The sequence below is a fragment of the Homo sapiens genome, chromosome 8, assembly GCF_000001405.40.
Source record: "Homo sapiens chromosome 8, GRCh38.p14 Primary Assembly".
In the NCBI taxonomy this organism is placed as follows: Eukaryota; Metazoa; Chordata; class Mammalia; order Primates; family Hominidae; genus Homo; species Homo sapiens.
The window spans coordinates 23,510,417-23,529,972 of NC_000008.11; the positions used below are offsets into that span (position 1 = coordinate 23,510,417).

Consider the following 19,556-nt stretch of genomic DNA (forward strand, 5'->3'; position numbering starts at 1 on the left):
AATTTCCCTCATTGCCAGGGTTGAGAGAGGCACCACCCCATGGCCCCCTAAGTACTAACTGATAGCAGTTATAAATCAGGCTTTGAGGAACGAAGACCGGATTGGGGATTTTTGTTGTGTTTGCCTTCTTCTCTCCTATGCTCCCAGTGCTCTGGTGTATAGTTCAAAGAGCTCTGATGGGTATTGGCCGAAACCTCCAAATGGAAGCTAAGGAGGCCACTGTACTGAGAAAATTCCTGAGTAGAAAAGTGCAGTGGGCACAGCTGTGGCCCATCCTGTCGGTGATCATTCCCTCTCTGGTATGGTTAGGCTCTGTGTCCCCACCCAAATCTCATCTTGAATTGTAATCCCCAGGTGTTGAGGGAGAGACCTGGTGGGAGGTGATTGGATCATGGGGGCAATTTCCCCATGCTGTTCTCATGATAGTGAGGGAGTTCTCATGCGATCTGATGGTTTTATAAGGGACTCTTCCCCCTTCGCTTCACACACACGCTCTCTCGCCTGCTGCCCTGTAAGACATGCCTGCTTCCCCTTACGCCATGATTGTACGTTTCCTGAGGCCTCCCCAGCCATGCGGAACTGTGAGTCCATTAAACCTCTTTTCTTTCTAAATTACCCAGTCTCAGGTAGTATCTTTATAGCAGTGAAAGAATGGACTAATACCTTCTCCTCCCTTTCTTGGTCACTAGCAGGGACTATCTGGGCTGCCTGAGGAGCCTCTTGTTTGGTTTGGGAACAGAAAATTTCAGCCTGGGAGATCCAGCACGTGGCAGCAGAGCGAGGGTTACCCAGGAGTCACAAGGAACACAAAGCAGAATCAGAGGGAGGTGACAATCAGAGAGCAGCTCAAACCTCGTGGGGTGCTTATTAAGTGCTTAATACTTACAGAATGACTTATTGACTGACTAACTGAATGAATGAATGAGTACCTGAATAGTTGGACCATCTCATTTTACTAAGGAGAGCTGGAGCCATAGAAGGAAGCTGATTTGCCGCAAGTCCCATAGTCGAGCAGTGGCACCTGGGATGGGTTTGTAGGTGACATGAGTCCTAGCTCTTTTGTTGTGATATCGCAATGATGGCAATTGGATAAATGAGGGACAACAGGGTGGAGAGAAGGAAATAAGGGTGAAAACTAGAAATCCTATAAAAAGAGTAAAATGATTTTGAGTCCTCTTATAGAAGAGTTTCTATAGAGGTTGAGTTTCTTGTAGAAGAACTTGATCAGCGCTGGCTCCAAAGCTTGCCCTTGTCTTGGCCCTTGATAGCACACCTTCTGTACTCCTCCCACCCCCATCCACCCCAGTCAAGCATCTTCCTGGAGAAGGCACCATTATTTATTTCCTTTCTTTTCTATCTTTAGTCCCTCCCCTCTCTATGCCCCATAGGTGACATGTATGATCAGCATCTCATTCTAAGTAAAATTTTCACTAGATGTAACTCCCTTATTTCTCTTTTATACTTCAGCATCAAACTCCTAGAAAAAAGTGCCTAAGCTGGGCATAGTGTAATCCTAGCACTTTGGGAGGTCGAGGTGGCAGATTGCTTGAGCCCAGGAGTTTGAGACCAGCCTGAGCAATGTGGTGAAACCTCGTCTGTACTAAAAATACAAAAAAAAAAAAAAAAAAAAAAAAAATTAGCCGGGAGTGGTAGCACATGCCTGTAGTCCCAGCTACCTGGGAGGCTGAGGTGGGAGGATTGTTTAAGTCCAGGAGGTGGAGGCTGCAGTGAGTCATCATTGCACCAGTCTGCACTCCAGCCTGGGCAACAGAGTGAGACCCTGTCTCAAAAAAAAAAAAAAAAAAAAAAAAAAAGAGCCTAGACCTGCGCTGTTTAATATGGTAGTCACTGGCTCCATGTAGCTGTTAATCACTGGAAATATGGCTAGGCTGAATTGAGATGTGATGTAACTATATATAAAATATGTACTGACTTCAAAGATAGCATGAAAGAAGAATGCAAAAATCTCATCAGTAATTATTTTGGATAAATTGGGTTAAATAAAATATATTATTAACATTAATTTCACCTTTTTCCTTTTACATTTTTTAAGGTGGCTACTAGAAAGTGTAATATTACATAATGTAGCTTGACTTCTATTTCTACTGTCTAGACTCTGCTTCAAAGCACCAACAGACCATATCAAACACAAAGCACGGTGCTCCTGAAATTAAAATGGGCACTGGGTTTATGGAAGCGCTTGTGTTCTCAAATCATCATTTACAACTGCCTTTTAAATGAGGGAGCGCTGAGGTTTTGACATGGGAAATTGTGATGAAAATAACAAGGTAACTTACTTGTTAATCAGGAAATTGGGCTCTGAAAGGACAGTGATGGTGCCGCCAACATTGGCCCAGTCTTTATGTCTCTCATGAGACATCCTGGCCCAGTAATGTTCTCTGAGGCTGGGCATGTGCCTTCCTGAGGACAGTTAGAGCCTTCTGTGACCAAATAGGATGCCCACAAAGCATTTGATGCCCCAAGCAGAGGAGGAAAGAGTGGGGAGGGAGCGTAGAGTCATTGAGGAGCCCCTGACAGCAGGAAGGACCTGAGCCCTGATGCCGGCTCTGCATGGTCTTGTGTGAGTCACGGAACCCTCTCGGTTTCCCCATCAGTGAAATCCATGCCCTGTAGCTTGGTGCTGTCTCTGGAGTTTCTGCCCTTCTTTCTTACATTTAGAATGTGGCAGGCCTTGAGCAAATTGCTTGAGAACTCTAAGCCTGGGTTTCCTTGTAGGTAAAATGAGGACTATGATAGTGATGACTCGGGGAGTGGTAGAAAGTCAGTGATATACTTCATACTTAACATAGTTACGACATACTGAGTGCTCAACAAATGTTCAAAACAGACAACTAAAAACTCAAAAATTAAAAAGGACCTGAAGGGCCAACCTGTCTAACTCCCACCCAAATTCAAGAATGTCCCTATATTTTCTTTAACCTCTGCCTCAGCTCATTCGCTGCCATTGTCTCACAGGGCAGAGCCTTATTTGTTTGCTGATTTTTTTATTAACCCATTTAAGCCTAGAGTTCCGTAATTGCAACGCTAAGCATGTGGGAGTTATTTATATCCTACTGCTCAAGGTCATCACCAAGGTCTGCAAAAATTCCAAAAATTGCATAACCTCAGGCATAAATGGGTTAAAAATTTAATTTTTCCATTATTTATTGTGGTAAACGACACGCAACATAAAGTTTACCATTCTAACGATTCTTTTTTTCTTTTTTTTTGAGATGGAGTCTCACTCTGTTGCCCAGGCTGGAGTGCTGCAGTGGCTCGATCTCAGCTCACTGCAACCTCCGTCTCCTGGGTTCAAGTGATTCTCCGGCCTCAGCCTCCTGAGTAGCTGGAATTGCAGGCACACACCCCAGGCCCGGCTAATTTTTGTATTTTTAGTAGAGACAGGGTTTCACCATGTTGGTTAGGCTTGTCTCAAACTCCTGACCTTTTGATCCACCTGCCTCAGCCTCCTAACGTGCTGGGATTACAGGCGTGAGCCACAGCACCCAGCCTCTAACCATTCTTAAATGTACAATCAACCGGCATTAAGTACCTTCATGTTGCTGTGCAACCATCACCACCACCATCTTTAGAACATTTTCATCTCCCCAGACTAAAACTCTGCACCCATTAGCACTAACTCCCCATTCTCCCACTCTCCCAGCCCCTGGTCACCCCTACTCTGTTTTCTGTCTCTATGAATGTGACTCTTTTAGGTACCTCATGTGAGTGCAATCACATATTGTCCTTTTGTGACTGGCTTATTTCACTTAGCATCATGTTTTCAACGTTCATCCATGTTGTAACATATGTCAGAATTTCATTGCTTTTTAAGGCTGAATAAAATTTCATTGTATGTATAGAGCACATTGCGTTTATCCATTCATCTGTTGCGAGGCCCTTGGGTTTTGAAATTTTTAGTATTTCTAACTACTAGTTCCTTCTTATAGGGAACTGAAATCTGCCCTTCTAGGACTTAACTCTCACCCCTCAGCTCTGCCCTCAGGCCCCACTGCACCAGATGAGTCCTCTTCCCACAGGAATCCCTGGATTTGAAGGGAGATCCTGAATTCCCACCCCAACTCTTCAAAGGCTGAGAAGTTTCACTAACTATTCATAAATTGCAGACTCATTGCCTTTGTGGTTTAAGTCTTCAGACCCACTTCAGTGGACTGATGTCTTTTTGAAAACGAGTCATCGTAAACTGAGCTGACCTGTACCCTACGCTGGAGAAATTGGGATAAATACAATATATTATTAACATTAATTTCACCAGTTTCCTGTTACATTTTTTAAGGTGACTACTAGAAAATTTAAAATTATGTATGTGGCTTATAACAGCCTCTCTTATCTTGACACTTTATTAATGCAGCTTAAGAACACATTCTCCTCTTTTTGGCAGCCATATTTCATGGATTTATTTATTAAACAATTTTTATTAAGTGTCCTGAGAAGATGAGGCACTTCAGCGTAGTAGTTTAGAACTTGAGCTCTGGAGCCAGATTTCCTAGGTCAGAATCCAAGATCCATCTCTTGCTGTGTGCCACTGTATACATTTCCTAAATTTTCAGGGCCTCAATTTCTTTATCTATAAAGTAGAGATAGCAGTAGTACCCACCTCATTGAGTAGTTGTGAGGGTTAAATGAATTAGTGCCTGTAAAACACAGATGAGTGCCTGGCACTTAATGCATGTGCTATGTCTCTCTACAGAGCACTGCCCCAAGGTGTTGGGGGTACGGCAGTCAGCCAGGCTGACCGGCTATGGGCTCTTTGTGGTTTGTAGTCTAGTGAAATGGTCAAACCATTACGTGACAACTGGAATTTATTCATGGGCAAAGGTGTAATGAAAAGATAGTTTTTGTTTGTTTGTTTGTTTGTTTGTTTGAGATGGAGTTTCGCTCTTGTTGCCCAGGCTGGAGTACAATGGTGTGATCTCGGCTCACTGCAACCTCTGCCTCCTGGGTTCAAGCGATTCTCTTGCCTGAGCCTCCTGAGTAGCTGGGATTACAGGCATGTGCCACCATGCGTGGCTAATTTTGTATTTTTAATAGAGACGAGGTTTCTCCATGTTGGTCAGGCTGGTCTCAAACTCCCGACCTCAGGTGATCCACCCACCTTGGCCTCCCAAAGTGCTGGGATTACAGGTGTGAGCCACCACACCTGGCCAAAAGACAGGTTTTTATGTAGAAACAAACCTCTGTCAATTACATGACAGGATACAAAATCTTATGATGAGAGAATTCAGAGTGATACAGGAGTACCGAACATTTATCTGCTCATTTATAAAAAATAAATACTTTTTAGGTTTCTACCATGTCTTACAAACCTCTGTAGATTCTGGAAAGTATCCGTAAACAGACTGAAGTTCTGTCTCTCTTGAGACACATTTTTTGGGGGGAAACAGTTAATAAACACCAACAAATAAGCACAATAAATAAAACCATAAATAATCCAGTTAGACACTTAAAAAGACTATATACAGCTATACTGTATATTGGAAAGGAACACTTTGGAGGTAGAGCTGGCATGATTCTTGACTGATGGAATTTTCTGTGTGAAAGACAAGGACTTAAGAATGACTCCAGGGTTTTCGGCTTGAGCAACTAGAAGCAAACCTGTGAGGTCAGCATGTCTTCCCAGAGGAGGTGACATCTAAATGGGGACTGGAAGGACGAGTAGCAACCATCCAGGTGAAGAGAGCCAGGGAAAATTGTTCTAGGAGCTGGAGTTTGTGCCAAGCTTGGGGGGCGAGGACAATGCCATGTGAAGTTTTATCTGCTTAGGAGTGCTGAGTCTCGTCCAGTAATTCCCTAATGTTTAGGATTTAAGGGTAAAATTTTATACTTTTAAAGATTTTAAAAATAATTTTGAGGCCAGGCGCAAGGGCTCACATCTGTAATCCCAGCTCCTTGAGAGGCCGAGACAGGTGGATCACCTGAGGTTGGGAATTCAAGAGCAGTCTGACCAACACGGAGAAACTTCGTCTTACTAAAAATACAAAATTAGCCGAGCATGGTGGCAGATGTCTGTAATCCCAGCTACTTGGGAGGCTGAGGCGGGAGAATCGCTTGAACTCTGAAGGTGGAGGTTGCGGTGAGCCGAGATGGTGCCACTGCATGCAGCCTGGGCAACAAGAGCGAAACTCTGTCTCAAAAAAAAAAAAAAAAAAATTGAATTTTAACATTCTAAGAAGTGACTCCCCCTAGCTTTGTCTTCTAAGAGGTTGATAAATCTGCATCCCAGGACTTTTTCTAGTAGTTGATTAAAAAAAAAATAGTTGAGTTGAACCTAAGTCAAGGACAGAGTCCTTTGTCCCACCCCCTTCCTGCTGATATTGTCACCATTAATCAACCCTCCTGGGGTGCAGCAACAAATGGACCCAAGTATCATAAAATTACACGGCCTGCATTTCTCCAGCTTACTCCTTAATAACAGCCCTAAGAAGGAAGGGAGATAAGATATCTGAAAGTGCTGGAAAGTTATCAAGTTGCTATTTTTTAGGATGACTTGGCCACCAACTTCCAGGAATGGAGAGACACTGAAACTAAGGGAGTTCACTGCTCTCCTAGGACAGTGACAGAAGGACAGAGGGGAATACAGCAAAGCTACAAGAAGGCACTCTGTGTTTCTACCTGTGTAAATGTGCTCGACTGTAACACCCTTGTGCCTGGGTGAGTGCACAAGCCTTTTAAGAGAAACATAGTTTATTTGTGCCAAATTGATCAATTTTGAGAGCCTGCTAATGCCCTTAAAGTAAGTTTTATGGATGTGACACAATTGATGGGAATTTGAATTGATCTATATCTTAAAATTAAGTTCATTAAACTGAGCAAATCATGTTCATGTCCTGATTTTATATACTTGCATTTATCAAATAGATTTTGATTTTTGGAAAAAAAAAAAAAAGGACAATTTTTTTTTTTTTTTTTTTTTGAGACAGAGTCTCCCTTTTGTTGCCCAGGCTGGAGTGCAGTGGTGTGATTGCAGCTCACTGCAACCTCCACCTCCAGGGTTCAAGTGATTCTTGTGCCTCAGCCTCCCTGAGTAGCTGGGATTACAGACGCCCGCCACCATGCCTGGCTAATTTTTGTAATTTTAGTAGAGATGGGGTTTCACCATGTTGGCCAGGCTGGTCTTGAACACCAGACCTCAGTTGATCTGCTCACTTTGGCCTCCCAAAGTGCTGGGATTTTATTTATCCATTCTGCTACTGATGAACAGTTGGGTTGTTTCCAGGTGTGAGCCACTGCGCCTGGCCAGAGGACACTTAAAAAGCAGAATTAACTGCTGATTAAGAGACAGATCTTTGGTGAACATAAACATGCTATGAAAAATCTCTATGGCAGACCAGGCATGGTGGCTCATGCCTGTAATCCCAGCACTTGGGGAGGCCGAGGGTGGATCACCTGAGGTCAGGAGTTCGAGATCAGCCTGACCAAAATGGTGAAACCCCATCTCTACTAAAAATACAAAAATTAGCCAGGCGTGGTGGTGGGTGCCTGTAATTCCAGCTACTCGGGAGGCTGAGGAAGGAGAATTGCCTGAGCCCGGGAGGCAGAAGTTGCAGTGAGCCGAGATCGTGCCATTGCACTCCAGCCTTGGCGACTGTCTATGGCTACAGTAAATGCTGACAAATATTAGCCAAACACTAAGGGGAAATTGACAGTTTGGCATATATATATCACTATTATATGTATTATATGTTATACATATAGCAGTAGCCTATATATGTATAATAGCATTAATATATATCAGGTGCCTTCTGTAATTTGTCATTTAATTCTGCAATGTAGGAATTCTTTGTGTTCATTTTATAATTGAGAACCAGACTCAGAGATGGTAAGTAATTTTTCCAAGGACATGCAGCTAGGTAGCAGGTGGTAAGTCAGGAGTTCTGACTTCAAAGTTTACCTTTCCTGTAAACTTCAAACTTTCCTGCTATTCTCTGCTTCCTCCTCAATCAATTAAACAAATATTTACTATATTTTTTCTCCAGAATATATAAATATTTCTACATTTATAGTTATATATTGACTTATAACATATATGTTATAAAAAGTGTAGAAATCGTAAGTGTCCAGTTCAATGAATTTCCATGAAGTAAACACACCGAATAAAAAAACCCAGAACACAACCAGATTCCCAGGAGGTCTCTCACACTTCCCTGCGGCCACAAGGGTAATGACTATGCTGGTTTCTAACACTATCAATTAGCCTTTTTTGTTCTTGAACTGTATGTTAAATGAATCATATTGTCTACTATTTTGTGTCTGGCTTCTTTTGCTCCACATTGCGTTTGTCATATTGAACCATGTTGTTCAAAGTTGAGAATCATTCCTTTCTGTTGCTGTGTCACATTGCATTGTGTGAACATACCACCATTTATTTATCCATCCTGCTACTGATGAACAGTTGGGTTGTTTCCAGCTTGGGACTGTTGTGAATTGTGCTGATGTGAGCATTTTTGTGAACGTCTTTTGGTGCACAAAGTAGGTGTTCCTGGGGTATATATTAGGAGTCGAACTGCTGAGTCATAAGTCATGTGTATATGCAGCTTTACTAGATATTGCCAGACCGTTTTCTAAACTGGTTGCATCAGAGCTGGTTAGTTTTAAAAACTGGACTAAAAATACTCTTTCTGATTATGTACACCAAATGTCCTGATTCTTGAAAATCTGTCCTGAGTAGGCAGATTTCTTGGGGAAAACTGCTACGTAGCATCTTGCTACATAGACAAATTTTATGAATTACCACATTTGGGCTCAATTGAGAAGGGTGTGTTTATTACATCAAGGAGGACTCTGGAAATTAATAAAGCAGAATTAAGAACTTCACAGTGTGTATGTGGCTGAATTTCCCCATAGCCTGGAGCTTTGATGTAGGGAAAAGGTGCCATCCAGCCCATTCTCGCACAGCCACATTGGGAGTCTCAGATACTGGGGCTCCATCTACCAACACAGTAGCTGAAGTGTTCAGCCTGGGAGCCTGAGAGGAGAGGGAAGATCTGGCTGCTCTCTGAGGCCACTCCCAGGGTTCCTCTCTGCTACCCAATGTTTCTGAAGGCCTGTCTCCACAGGCCACCAAGTGGAGATCCTTGGTTAACCCTTCTCTCCCACCTGAGAGACTCTCGGTGCTAACTTTGCCCCCCCCCGCTTTGGTAGGTGGCAACCTGGCACCCTTTGCACATCTTTCTCCTGCAAATTCACAATCACTCTGCAATTGCCCCCCAACAGCAGCTGAAACAGAGGTCCAGACTTGAGAAACACATATGACTAAAGTCAGGAGAGACCAGCAAGGCATAATTAGATGCTGTGGACAGAGAAAACACGTGGAACGCAAATGGAAAACCACAGTGGTTGGTGCTTCTAACTGCAAACGAGCTGCTTCTCCCAAGGGCAACTCTTGGAAGCAGTGGGTTTTACTCAGTCCTGATCTGTCTCCAAAGCACATGCTTGTTATTTTTATGCGACATCATCTCCATCCTCCTACAGAGGGGCATCTTCTCTGCTCAGTAGTCTATTTGAGGCAGGGAAATACAGAGACTTTGCTACCTGAAGGATCGTGGTCAGTGAACTCTCTTATTCACTGTGCATAGAGCTCAGTACAAAACTGTGCAAATGTGGCCATGTGCTAATGTGCTGTGTCAGGTGAACCTGACCAGAGTGGAGAATTGATGACTATTGATTTTTACAGAGCAGGCATCTGAGATATGACAAATGATAGCAATAAAGGAGTTTTATCAGGCTCTGAGTTTATTTCAAAGGTGAGTAAGTGAACGGGTATTGAATGACACACCTGGGGTTTTATCCCAGCTCTGCCACCAACCACTTTTGTGTCCTTGGACACGTTACTTTACCTTGGATCTCTTTTGTCCACCTGTAAGAAAGGACTTATAGACTATATCATACTCTAGTTCTCTTCCAGGTCCCCAGCTTAGTAACTCCATGTTGTCCTAAGAAAGGTAGTCCCCTGGCCGGGCGCGGTGGCTCACGCCTGTAATCCCAGCACTTTGGGAGGCTGAGGCAGGTGGATCATCTGAGGTCAGGAGTTTGAGACCAGCTTGGCCAACTTGGTGAAACCCCACCTGTACTAAAAATACAAAAATTAGCCAGATATGGTGATGCGTGCCTGTAATCCCAGCTACTCGGGAGGCTGGGGTGGAGAATCACTTGAACCTGGGAGGCGAAGTTTGCAGTAAGCCGAGATCACACCATTGCACTCCAGCCTGAGTGACAGAGCAAGACTCCATCTCAAAAAAAAAAAAAAAAAAAAAAAAAAAAAAAGAAAAGAAAAGAAAAGAAAGGTAGCTCTCTAATTTAGTGTTTGTGACATATACTTTGGAAGAAAAAAAAAGTCACCTTTTTCTCTCTTCTACACAACCTGTGCTCAGAATCTCCAGCTCTGAGGTGCAACATGTTCTTTAACTCCCTGGGAATCATGGACGTCTGCAATATTTCATGCTGTTATATAGGAAGATGAAGCTCTTTTCCAAAGAAATTCTGACTCATTTAATAATATGTACTGTTTATTCATTGTGTGTATTCAAGGAACTTAGAGTGTAATGGGAGGGCTAAGACATGGCTTCCAGAGCTGCAATATAAAGTGCAAGGTTCTAAGTAAGAGCTGTGGAAGAGGCAGGGAAGAGCTCCAGGGTTCCTCCTACTTTTTAGGGGTCAGAGAAGACTTCATGGAAGGTGAGGTGTCTGAGTTGAGAAATGAATGTTGAGCATCATTTCAACAGTGGAGATGTGGAGAGTCTTCCCTTCCAAGAGGATATAAGAAGAGACAAGGGCCATAGGTTGAGGGACATGGTTTTGGGGGTGACAAGCAAGGTCTGGCTATAATTAGGTGACTCTATGTCCTGGTTTTCCCAGGATAGTCTCAGCTTATACCCTCTGTCCTGGTGGAATTGTTAACAGTGACCCTTTCCATTCTCAAAAAGTGTCCCAGTTTGGATGATAAATTACAGAGTCACTATAGCTATAGATGATGCTATCTCAGAGGCTGGATCCAGATGTGGCTAATAGGATCTAAGAGTCAAAAAAAGAGAGAGATGACTCTATGCTTGGCTGCAGGTTGGTAAAAAGGAGGTAAATGCAAGGGGAAAAAATGGCATTAGAAAGAGTTGGTGGCCAGGCGCAGTGGTTCACGCCTGTAATCCCAGGCGGACCACTCGAGGTCAGGAGTTTGAGACCCGCCTGGCCAATATGGTGAAACCCCCATCTCTACTAAAAATACAAAAACTAGGCCAGGTGCGGTGGCTCACGCCTGTAATCTCAGCACTTGGGGAGGCCGAGGCAGGTGGATCACCTGAGATCAGGAGTTTGAGACCAGCCTGGCCAACATGGTGAAACCCCATCTCTACCAAAATACAAAATTTAGCCGGGCGTGGTGGCGGGCGCCTGTAATCCTAGCTCCTCGGGAGGCTGAGGCATGAGAATCGCTTGAACCCGGGAGGCAGAGGTTGCAGTGAGCCGAGATCATGCCGCTGCACTCCAGCCTGGGTGACAGAGTGAGACTTTGTGTCAAACCCGTCCCCCCGCAAAAAAAAAAACACGAAAAAAACCCCAAAATTAGCCGGGAGTGGTGGCGGGTGCCTGTAATCCCAGCTACTCGAGAGGCTGAGGCAGGATAATTGCTGGAACCTGGGAGGCGGAGATTACAGTGAGCTGAGATCACCCCACTGTGCTGGGTAACAGAGTGAGACTCCGTGTTAATAAAAAAGAAAAAAAGAAGGAGTTGGTGATTGTGAAGAAAGATTAGAAGGACAGAGCTGGAGGGGTCTGCATACCAGTGAGTCCAATCCAGATAATCATTTCACAGATGAAGGAACGAGAAAAAGGAATGTTAGGACAGGAACGCAGGCCTCTTGGTGCTCTTGCCTCACTGGACTGAGTTGAATAGTGTCTGTCCCTCCCACCCAATTCATGTACACCCAGAACCTGTGAATGTGACCTTACTTATAAATACAGTCTTTGCAGATGTAATCAATTTAAGACAAGGTCATACTGGATTAGGATGGGCCCTGAATCCAATATGACAGGTATCTTTATAAGAAGAGAGGAGTTGGACAGGCACAGAGACACACAGGGAGGGTGCCACATGGCAACAGAGCAGGGGTCAGAGTGATGCGTCTACAAGCCAAGGAGGGACCAGAAGCTGGGAACTGGCAGGGGAGGGTCCTCCAGGATAGCTTTCAGAGAGAGCATGGCCCTGCTGACACCTCCATCTCAGACTGCTGGCCTCCAGACCTACCTACCTACCTACCTACCTACCTACCTACCTACCTTCCTTCCTTCCTTCCTTCCTTCCTTCCTTCCTTCCTTCCTTCCTTCCTTCCTTCCTTTCTTTTTCTTTCTTTCCTTCCTTTCTTTTTCTTTCTTTCTTTCTCTTTCTCTTTCTTTCTTTCTTTCTTTCTTTCTTTCTTTCTTTCTTTCTTTCTTTCTTTCCTTCCTTCCTTCCTTCTTTCTTTCTTTCTTTTTTTTTTGACAGAGTATTGCTCTGTTGTCTAGGCTGAAGTGAAGTGGCACGATCTCAGCTCACTGCAACCTCCACCTTCCGAGTTCAAGCGATTCTCCTGCCTCATCCTCCTAAGTCGCTGGGATTACAGGTGCATGCTACCATGCCCGGCTAATTTCTGTATTTTTAGTAGAGATGGGGTTTCACCATGTTAGTCAGGCTGGTCTTGAACTCCTGACCTCGTGATCCGCCTACCTCGGCTTCCCAAAGTGTTGGGATTACAGGCGTCAGCCACCGCGCCAGGCCACATTTCTGTTGTTTTAAGTCACCTAGTTTGTGTCATTTTGTTAGAGCACTCCCAGGACACAAATATTTTACGCTTTCTGAGCTTTAGGTGCAGCAGAATATTCAGGTAGAGCTGCCGGGAGGCACATGAATACGTGGGTGGGACTGGAATGAGGAGGAGCTGGGGTTGGTAACTGGGGTGTGGGAATAGGAGAGATGACCAACGGGAGGACAGGACAGCAGCTGCCAGGACGGGGTTGCAGGGAGGGAGGAAGGAGAGGGAGAAAAGGCAGAGGGCCCCAAGAAAGCGAGCGGAAGTGAGGAAGGGATTCCAGAGGAGGCGGAGGCTGAGAGGTTCATGCTGGGAGGAGCAGCTGATGTGGCTGGCACGCAAAAATTCCTGTAGAAAACTGCAAGGGTTAGAAACTGCCACGCAATGGTGGCAGGCGCCTGTAATCCCAGCTGCTCAGGAGGCTGAGACAGGATAATCACCTGAATCCTTGGGGCCGAGGTTGCAGTGAGCCGAGATTGCGCCACTGCGCTTCAGCCTGGCGACAGAGTGAGATTCTGTCTAAAAAAAAAAAAAAAGAAAGGAAAAGAAAAGAAACTGTCACGCAAAGGGTTAAGGACTGAGTGCATTTTTAGCAGAGACAGCAGGGAGAGTCCTCTCCCGAGGACTTCAGGATGGAGGAGAGACTTAGGGTACTAGCTTCAGGTAAGGAGCAGGGAAGAGAGGTTCTATTAGGTGATGGGGGCACCAATTGTATTTGTGGAAACAGGCGAGGAGAGGGAAAAATGCAGATGTCAGCTCTTGCGGTGGCCCACCCACGTCACGAGGCATGATGATTGGTAGAGTCAAGCAGCAGAGTGGGAGGACGCCAGGGCACAGGCGGCTCCTGGGAGGCAGATCAACGCTTCTCTCTCAAGTTACTGATTACACCCCAGCTCTGACCCTTGCCAGTCACCACTGGTTGTACAAGGATGCCTGGTAAAGTGAGGCAACCCTGTGTTCTCCCATCTGATGACTCTTTCCCATCTCTTCTTTATTTGACTTGGGGTTTGAGAGGGAGGCTAGCTTTTGCCTCCATTTATTCGTCCATCTCATGGGGAGACTCATTTCTGTATGAGTCTCGGATAGATTTAGAAACACAGCACTGTCCCAGGGAAAGCAAGGAATCTGGGGCTACAGGACAAGACCTGTATGAGGGAGGGAGGGACTGTGTGCCCAGAGTCCTTTGAGGCCCTCCCAACATGTGCACTCCACTTAAAATTACCCAGGATGGGGATGAGAGTGCATTATAAAAAACAGGCCAGGTGCAGTAGCTCACACCTGTAATCCAAGGACTTTGGGAAGCTGAGGCAGGAGGATTGCTTGAGTCCAGAAGGTTGAGATCAGCCTGGGCAATATACAGTGAGACCTTGTGTCTACAGAAAAATTTAAAAATTAGCCAGGTGTGGTGACAAGTGCCTGTAGTTCCAGCTACTCAGGAGGCTGAGGCAGGAGGATTGCTTGAGCCCAGGAGTTCAAGGCTGCATGAGCGGTGATCATACCACTGCACTCCAGCCAGGGTCACAGAGCGAGACTCTATCTCAAAAACAAACAAACAAACAAACAAACAAACACACAAACCAGAAAAACCCACAAAACATCAAAGATCAACAAAGCCTGAAAGCACACCACACTACCAGGTGCCCTAGTTGACATAATGCTAGCTGCAGTTGCTCCGTGGCCAAGAGTCTTCTCTCTCACACAAAGCAGAGGAGTGCTGGGACCCAGGGAGACACCCAGCACTGGCTAAATTATAAGTAGGGTAGTAATGTACCTGTGTGTTGCATGGAGCAGATGGATGTCAGGGCTAGAGTAATTCTTATGAAAAAAAGCAGGATTTGGGAGAAAGCCTGAACCTCTTCCCTCTGCAACCCTCATTTTCTGTCCTCTTTTCTCCCAACTCTCCAAAATTATATCTAAACTTCACCATGAGCTTCCATGGTGCAGCATATATAATTGAGATATATACTCTTCCAAATATAGAGTTTATTTTCCTCTATATTTTGTTCACCATGTAGTATGAATGACCAAAGTCTACAGAGGAGGAAGCTTGCCAGAAACAGGCCAGAGCCCCTCAGCTAGTGAACACTGGAAGCAGGGCTTGCACAGGTCTACACCTCCAAGTCAGGTGCTTCTTGCCCTGCACATTCTACAGCTTCCTCTTTCTAAATGGAGCTTGGCTTCCAGTTAGGCCAGGGCTGCATGACGACATCTTCAGAACTACAACGTTCAGGAACTTTACGAAAGACTCCGATAGAAGCAACAAGTCATTCTGAGCTTCCTGGCCTGCCCCATGGGAGAGGACCAAATGAGCTGCCACTCCTCTGCTCCTGGTTGCCATGTTCTTGCCTTTCAAAGAGAGAGCTGCTCCCTTCCTGATGGCAGTGTGGCCCAAGCACTGGGTTATGCTGTCTGGGATGCCACCCTCTCGCAGCATGCCTTCCCTAGAGGTCTGGGAGCTGGACCGGCTGCTGCCTTGTGACATCCGGGATGGCGCCTTCATTACTATGCCCTTTCACTGCTATGCACAAAACCGTGGGGAGGGGTTTAGGCACAGATCCACACTGCCAAACTGGCTTCCCAAGGGACTGGCTACCTCTGCCATGGCCTCAAAGGCAAGGAATCAGAAGGCCACCTACAAAGTCACGGTGCGGGGATCGGGAGGCTGCCACTTATCACTGCTGCACCCCCTCATTCCATAAATACCTCTCAGCATCCATGAATCTGGTGACCAAACACTGCCATGCTGTTGCAGTGGGGAACCCACTGCCCGCCCCAACTGTTCCTGCCTCAAGTGTCTGTGACCTTGCTAGGCAGCAGAAAACACCAAAGAACAGGAAGGGAGCTTCAGCTCATGTTCACTTTCCAGATCTTTCCAATTCATCTATTGCCAGAATATAATTCATGGCTAGACCCTTGGCTGCAAGAAAGTCTGAGAAATGTGGCTTTACATGTTCTGGCCACTGCAGTCCAAGGAGGAGTGCAAGATGCTAAGTGCCAAACCACCATATCTACCATAGGTGGGGAGAAAAAAATATTGAATTCTGTTAAATAATCAATATTCCAAAGATTTTCAACTGTTTCTAACATTTATTTAATGAAATTAAACAAAAATCACGTCTGTGAAGATTATGGGCATATTCACATTTGCTAAGAATTCTCTTAACCATCAAAAGGCAACTTCTTTCCACTGGTATCACCATTGCAAAGTTCAGGGGGTTTCTCATCCATTAGGAGGTGTGTGTGTGTGTGTGTGTGTATATATATATAAAATATATCTTATACATATGTATTATATATAATATAGGTATACATATAATATACATACATATATAACAGGTGTATATATGTACATAGATGTATATATGTATACATAGGTGTATATATCATATATACATAGGTATATATTAAATATGTGTAAAATATATAGACGTGTATATATCTTATATATAAAATATAAAATTTATATAAATTATAAAATATATATAAAATAAAATTTATATAAATTATAAAATATATATAAAATATAAAATATATATAAATATATATAAATATAAAAAATATATAAATATATATAAATATAAAATCTATATAAAATATATAATATAAAATTTATATAAAATATATATAACATAAAATTTATATAAAACATACATAAAATATAAAATTTATATATATAAAATGTACATATTTATACATAAAATGTATATATATTTTATATATACACATGGATATGAATGCTGAGAGGCTAAGTAAAAAAATACATTTATATATACACATATATCTATATATATTTATATACACAAATCAACATATTTTATATATGTACATATGTGTATATTCTATATCCTATCTATATATCTTATACATATGCACATATCTATATTCTATACATATATACTTCTATATATAGATGTGTGTATGTATGTGTAAATATGGTATATATTTCCTAAAAAGAATGGTTTTTTATTTTTAAATTACAGAAATAATAAAAGTATTATTTAAAGTCTGAAAAATAAAGTCAAAGCAGTTGCCTATAAGCCTCCATCACTAGCACAGTAACCATGCGATTCTTTTCCTGAGCACATTTACATCTTTGTGAATGCAATGGTTATAGAATTTCGTTTTGTTTTTTTCACCTAACATTACATTATAATCATCGTCCATGTCGTGTAATGTAAATTCCACTTGTAAAGGCTGCATAATATTTCACTAATATTATGCACACATCATAATTTCCTTAGCCATTCCCTTCTGGTTGACCATTTAGGTTGTTTCCAATGATTTACTGCTCTAAGGAATGCTTTGAAGAAGAGCTTCCTGTGTATTTGGGTTTTTGTTACATTCCCAGAAGTGGGGCAGTGGGTTCTTACAGACTTAATGCTTAAAGGGCATCCACTTAAAAATAAGGATCAACAGCTTCTGATCAGTATTTCTTAAAAACGACCTTTGACAAAAGTAGAGTTTTCTCTAGCCATTACAGAGATGGCTAAGTAAAAACACAGAGCCTGTTTTTACTTATCACATCCTTAGCACTCAGCTTGCCAGCTACTATCTGCAGCTACCAAAACTAGGCAAACAGTGCTCTTGGTCCTGACGCCTCTATTGACCTCTACCCATGCTCACATTACTGTATCTCAAATCCCTAAGAGCTGCTTGGGATGCTGATCACGGTGAGGGCAGAGAGTAGGCTCAGCCTCTTCAGGGTCTTCCCCACCCTTTCATATCTCAGGATCCAGCTTTCCTGACGAGAAGCCTTGTCTAGATAAGGCAGGGAGGCCCTGGTGCCTACAAGTTGATCAGCCCAAGTCATCTTAAGCCCTGGAACACGCAATTTAGACGGACACTTCCAGAGGCAGACAGGTCCCTCCCCTACTTTCTGATTTCTCCCTTTTTCCCCAGACTGGAGCAAAACAATATTAAAACAGCCTGGGTTACACTTTATTGAAGAGGCCAGCTTAGGACGACTTTAAGAACTAGGTGACCACAGTCTTAAGACAGGCAGGGGCAAGGCTGTAAGATTTTACTCTCAGCCAGTTCACACTCCTAACTGTGAGATCAGGCCTCTACAGACCTTATGGGCCTATCAAACCCAAAGAAAATTTCCTGGAGGTGCCTACTCAGAGGGGCTCCCTCCTGGTCACTCCTTATAGCCTTGCTCGGTCCAGGGCAGGGTGGGTTCGGTCTCTCGGTGAGAACAAGAGGAACACATTTAGCTCTGCATTATGTATTTAGGTTGAGAGAAACAATTTCGAATGAATGGGGGTCTCTCCAACAAAGCAGTCTAGAACGGGCCCCTGAGGTTTGAATTCAGGCCTTAGGAATGCCAAAGCTCACTGAGCGATTCTGTTTGCAAACCCACCCGCCACGGGGACGGATTTTCCCCGAGACACTGTCACCCATGCCTCCAGCTCTGGGCATACCCCACTGCGGCCCCTCCCCAATGACCTCCCCTGCCCCTCGCGGACCAGCCCATCCTCAAGATAGTACAACTTTCCGGGCCACCCCACGTCTCCTCTCGCCCCCGTCCGGTTGCTTGGAAATGTGCACGGGACGGTGACGTCACACAGGGAGGCGGGTCCCCACTGTCCCGCACACCAATGGCGCGGCGGCCGCCGGCCTCTTGGTTCCCGGCGATTGGTGTCTCTGGCCGCTGCGCTCCACCCCAGCCCGCCATGGCGTCAGGCGCCGCGGCCCCGGGGAGGTGGCTCCCACTTTAAGAAGTGAAGTTTTGCGCCCCTCCCCCTCCCTGCCCACCTCCTGCAGCCTCCTGCGCCCCGCCGAGCTGGCGGATGGAGCTGCGCAGCGGGAGCGTGGGCAGCCAGGCGGTGGCGCGGAGGATGGATGGGGACAGCCGAGATGGCGGCGGCGGCAAGGACGCCACCGGGTCGGAGGACTACGAGAACCTGCCGACTAGCGCCTCCGTGTCCACCCACATGACAGCAGGAGCGATGGCCGGGATCCTGGAGCACTCGGTCATGTACCCGGTGGACTCGGTGAAGGTGAGGCGCGGGGAGACTTCGGGGACGCAACGAGCGGAGAAGGAGCGCGCGCGCGCATTTGCATCCCGCGCGCCGGCAGCCTCGGGGCAGCGTCCCGAAACCGAGCTCTCCCCAGGACCGCGGCTGGCCGGGGTCGCCCCAGGAGCAGCTGCGCGCAGCCTGGGCGCCGCGCCTTCCGCCGACCCCGCGAGGGTGCCCGGTCCTCGCCCCGCACCGCCCGCTGCTCCAGCCGCGTGCCCGGCCCCGGCTGCTGGCGGCGCTGAGGCGGGGGAGGCGGAGTGGCGAGCACCGCTGGCTTCGGCGGCGACTGGGCTCCCGGGGGACGCGATCGCTGAAGCTCTGCACAGTCTTACCACGCTGGCCGTTCGGGCTGGCTGGGGCCGCCCACACGTGCGCGGTTTCCGAGGGAGCTCCCCGCAGGGGAAGCCCTCACCACGCTGGAGCTGAGAAACGTGTGGCCCTGGCCCGGCCGCGCGCCCTCGGGACTTGGTGTGTGGCTGCTGCTCCCCGGGTTATTTCGGGAACTTGGGGCCGGCAAGTCTTCTCTCGACTAGTGGCAGCTCTTTACCGGTTCGACAGCGGCCCGTGGGATCCCCTTTCTGAGGGTTCCTGCACTTCTTCCCCCGACTTTGGGTCGCCGAGCCGCCGGGAGGCAATGACGTTTGCCTTCTCCTTTTGCTTGCGGGGAGGTGGGTGGGCTTGTGCCTTACAGCCCTTGCTGTGGATTGTGTGAGAGGCACTCAGTTTCCTTTAAACCCTG

General features: G+C 45.6%; 1 protein-coding gene across 4 annotated transcripts in view, besides 3 other annotated features; it reads left to right on the forward strand.

Moving 5' to 3' along the window:
• Positions 18,234 to 18,283: an enhancer, noted in NCBI's record as "active region_27119". NCBI's record gives its function as "activates an Ori minimal core promoter by ATAC-STARR-seq in GM12878 lymphoblastoid cells {active_cell/tissue: GM12878}" and the evidence as "EXISTENCE:reporter gene assay evidence [ECO:0000049][PMID:35858748]".
• Positions 18,414 to 18,773: a silencer, noted in NCBI's record as "silent region_19025". NCBI's record gives its function as "represses an Ori minimal core promoter by ATAC-STARR-seq in GM12878 lymphoblastoid cells {active_cell/tissue: GM12878}" and the evidence as "EXISTENCE:reporter gene assay evidence [ECO:0000049][PMID:35858748]".
• Positions 18,540 to 19,556, forward strand: part of SLC25A37 (solute carrier family 25 member 37) — a 46,508-nt gene continuing 45,491 nt past the window's right edge. For all 4 annotated transcript variants that reach the window (NM_001317814.2, NM_001317813.2, NM_001317812.2 and 1 more), the window contains exon 1: positions 18,540 to 18,796. Coding sequence is in view for 1 of the 4 variants with exons in the window: in NM_016612.4 (NP_057696.2) it covers positions 18,587 to 18,796 (210 nt within the window). In the remaining 3 variants the exon portion in view is untranslated. The remainder of the gene's footprint in view (positions 18,797 to 19,556) is intronic.
• Positions 18,824 to 19,073: a silencer, noted in NCBI's record as "silent region_19026". NCBI's record gives its function as "represses an Ori minimal core promoter by ATAC-STARR-seq in GM12878 lymphoblastoid cells {active_cell/tissue: GM12878}" and the evidence as "EXISTENCE:reporter gene assay evidence [ECO:0000049][PMID:35858748]".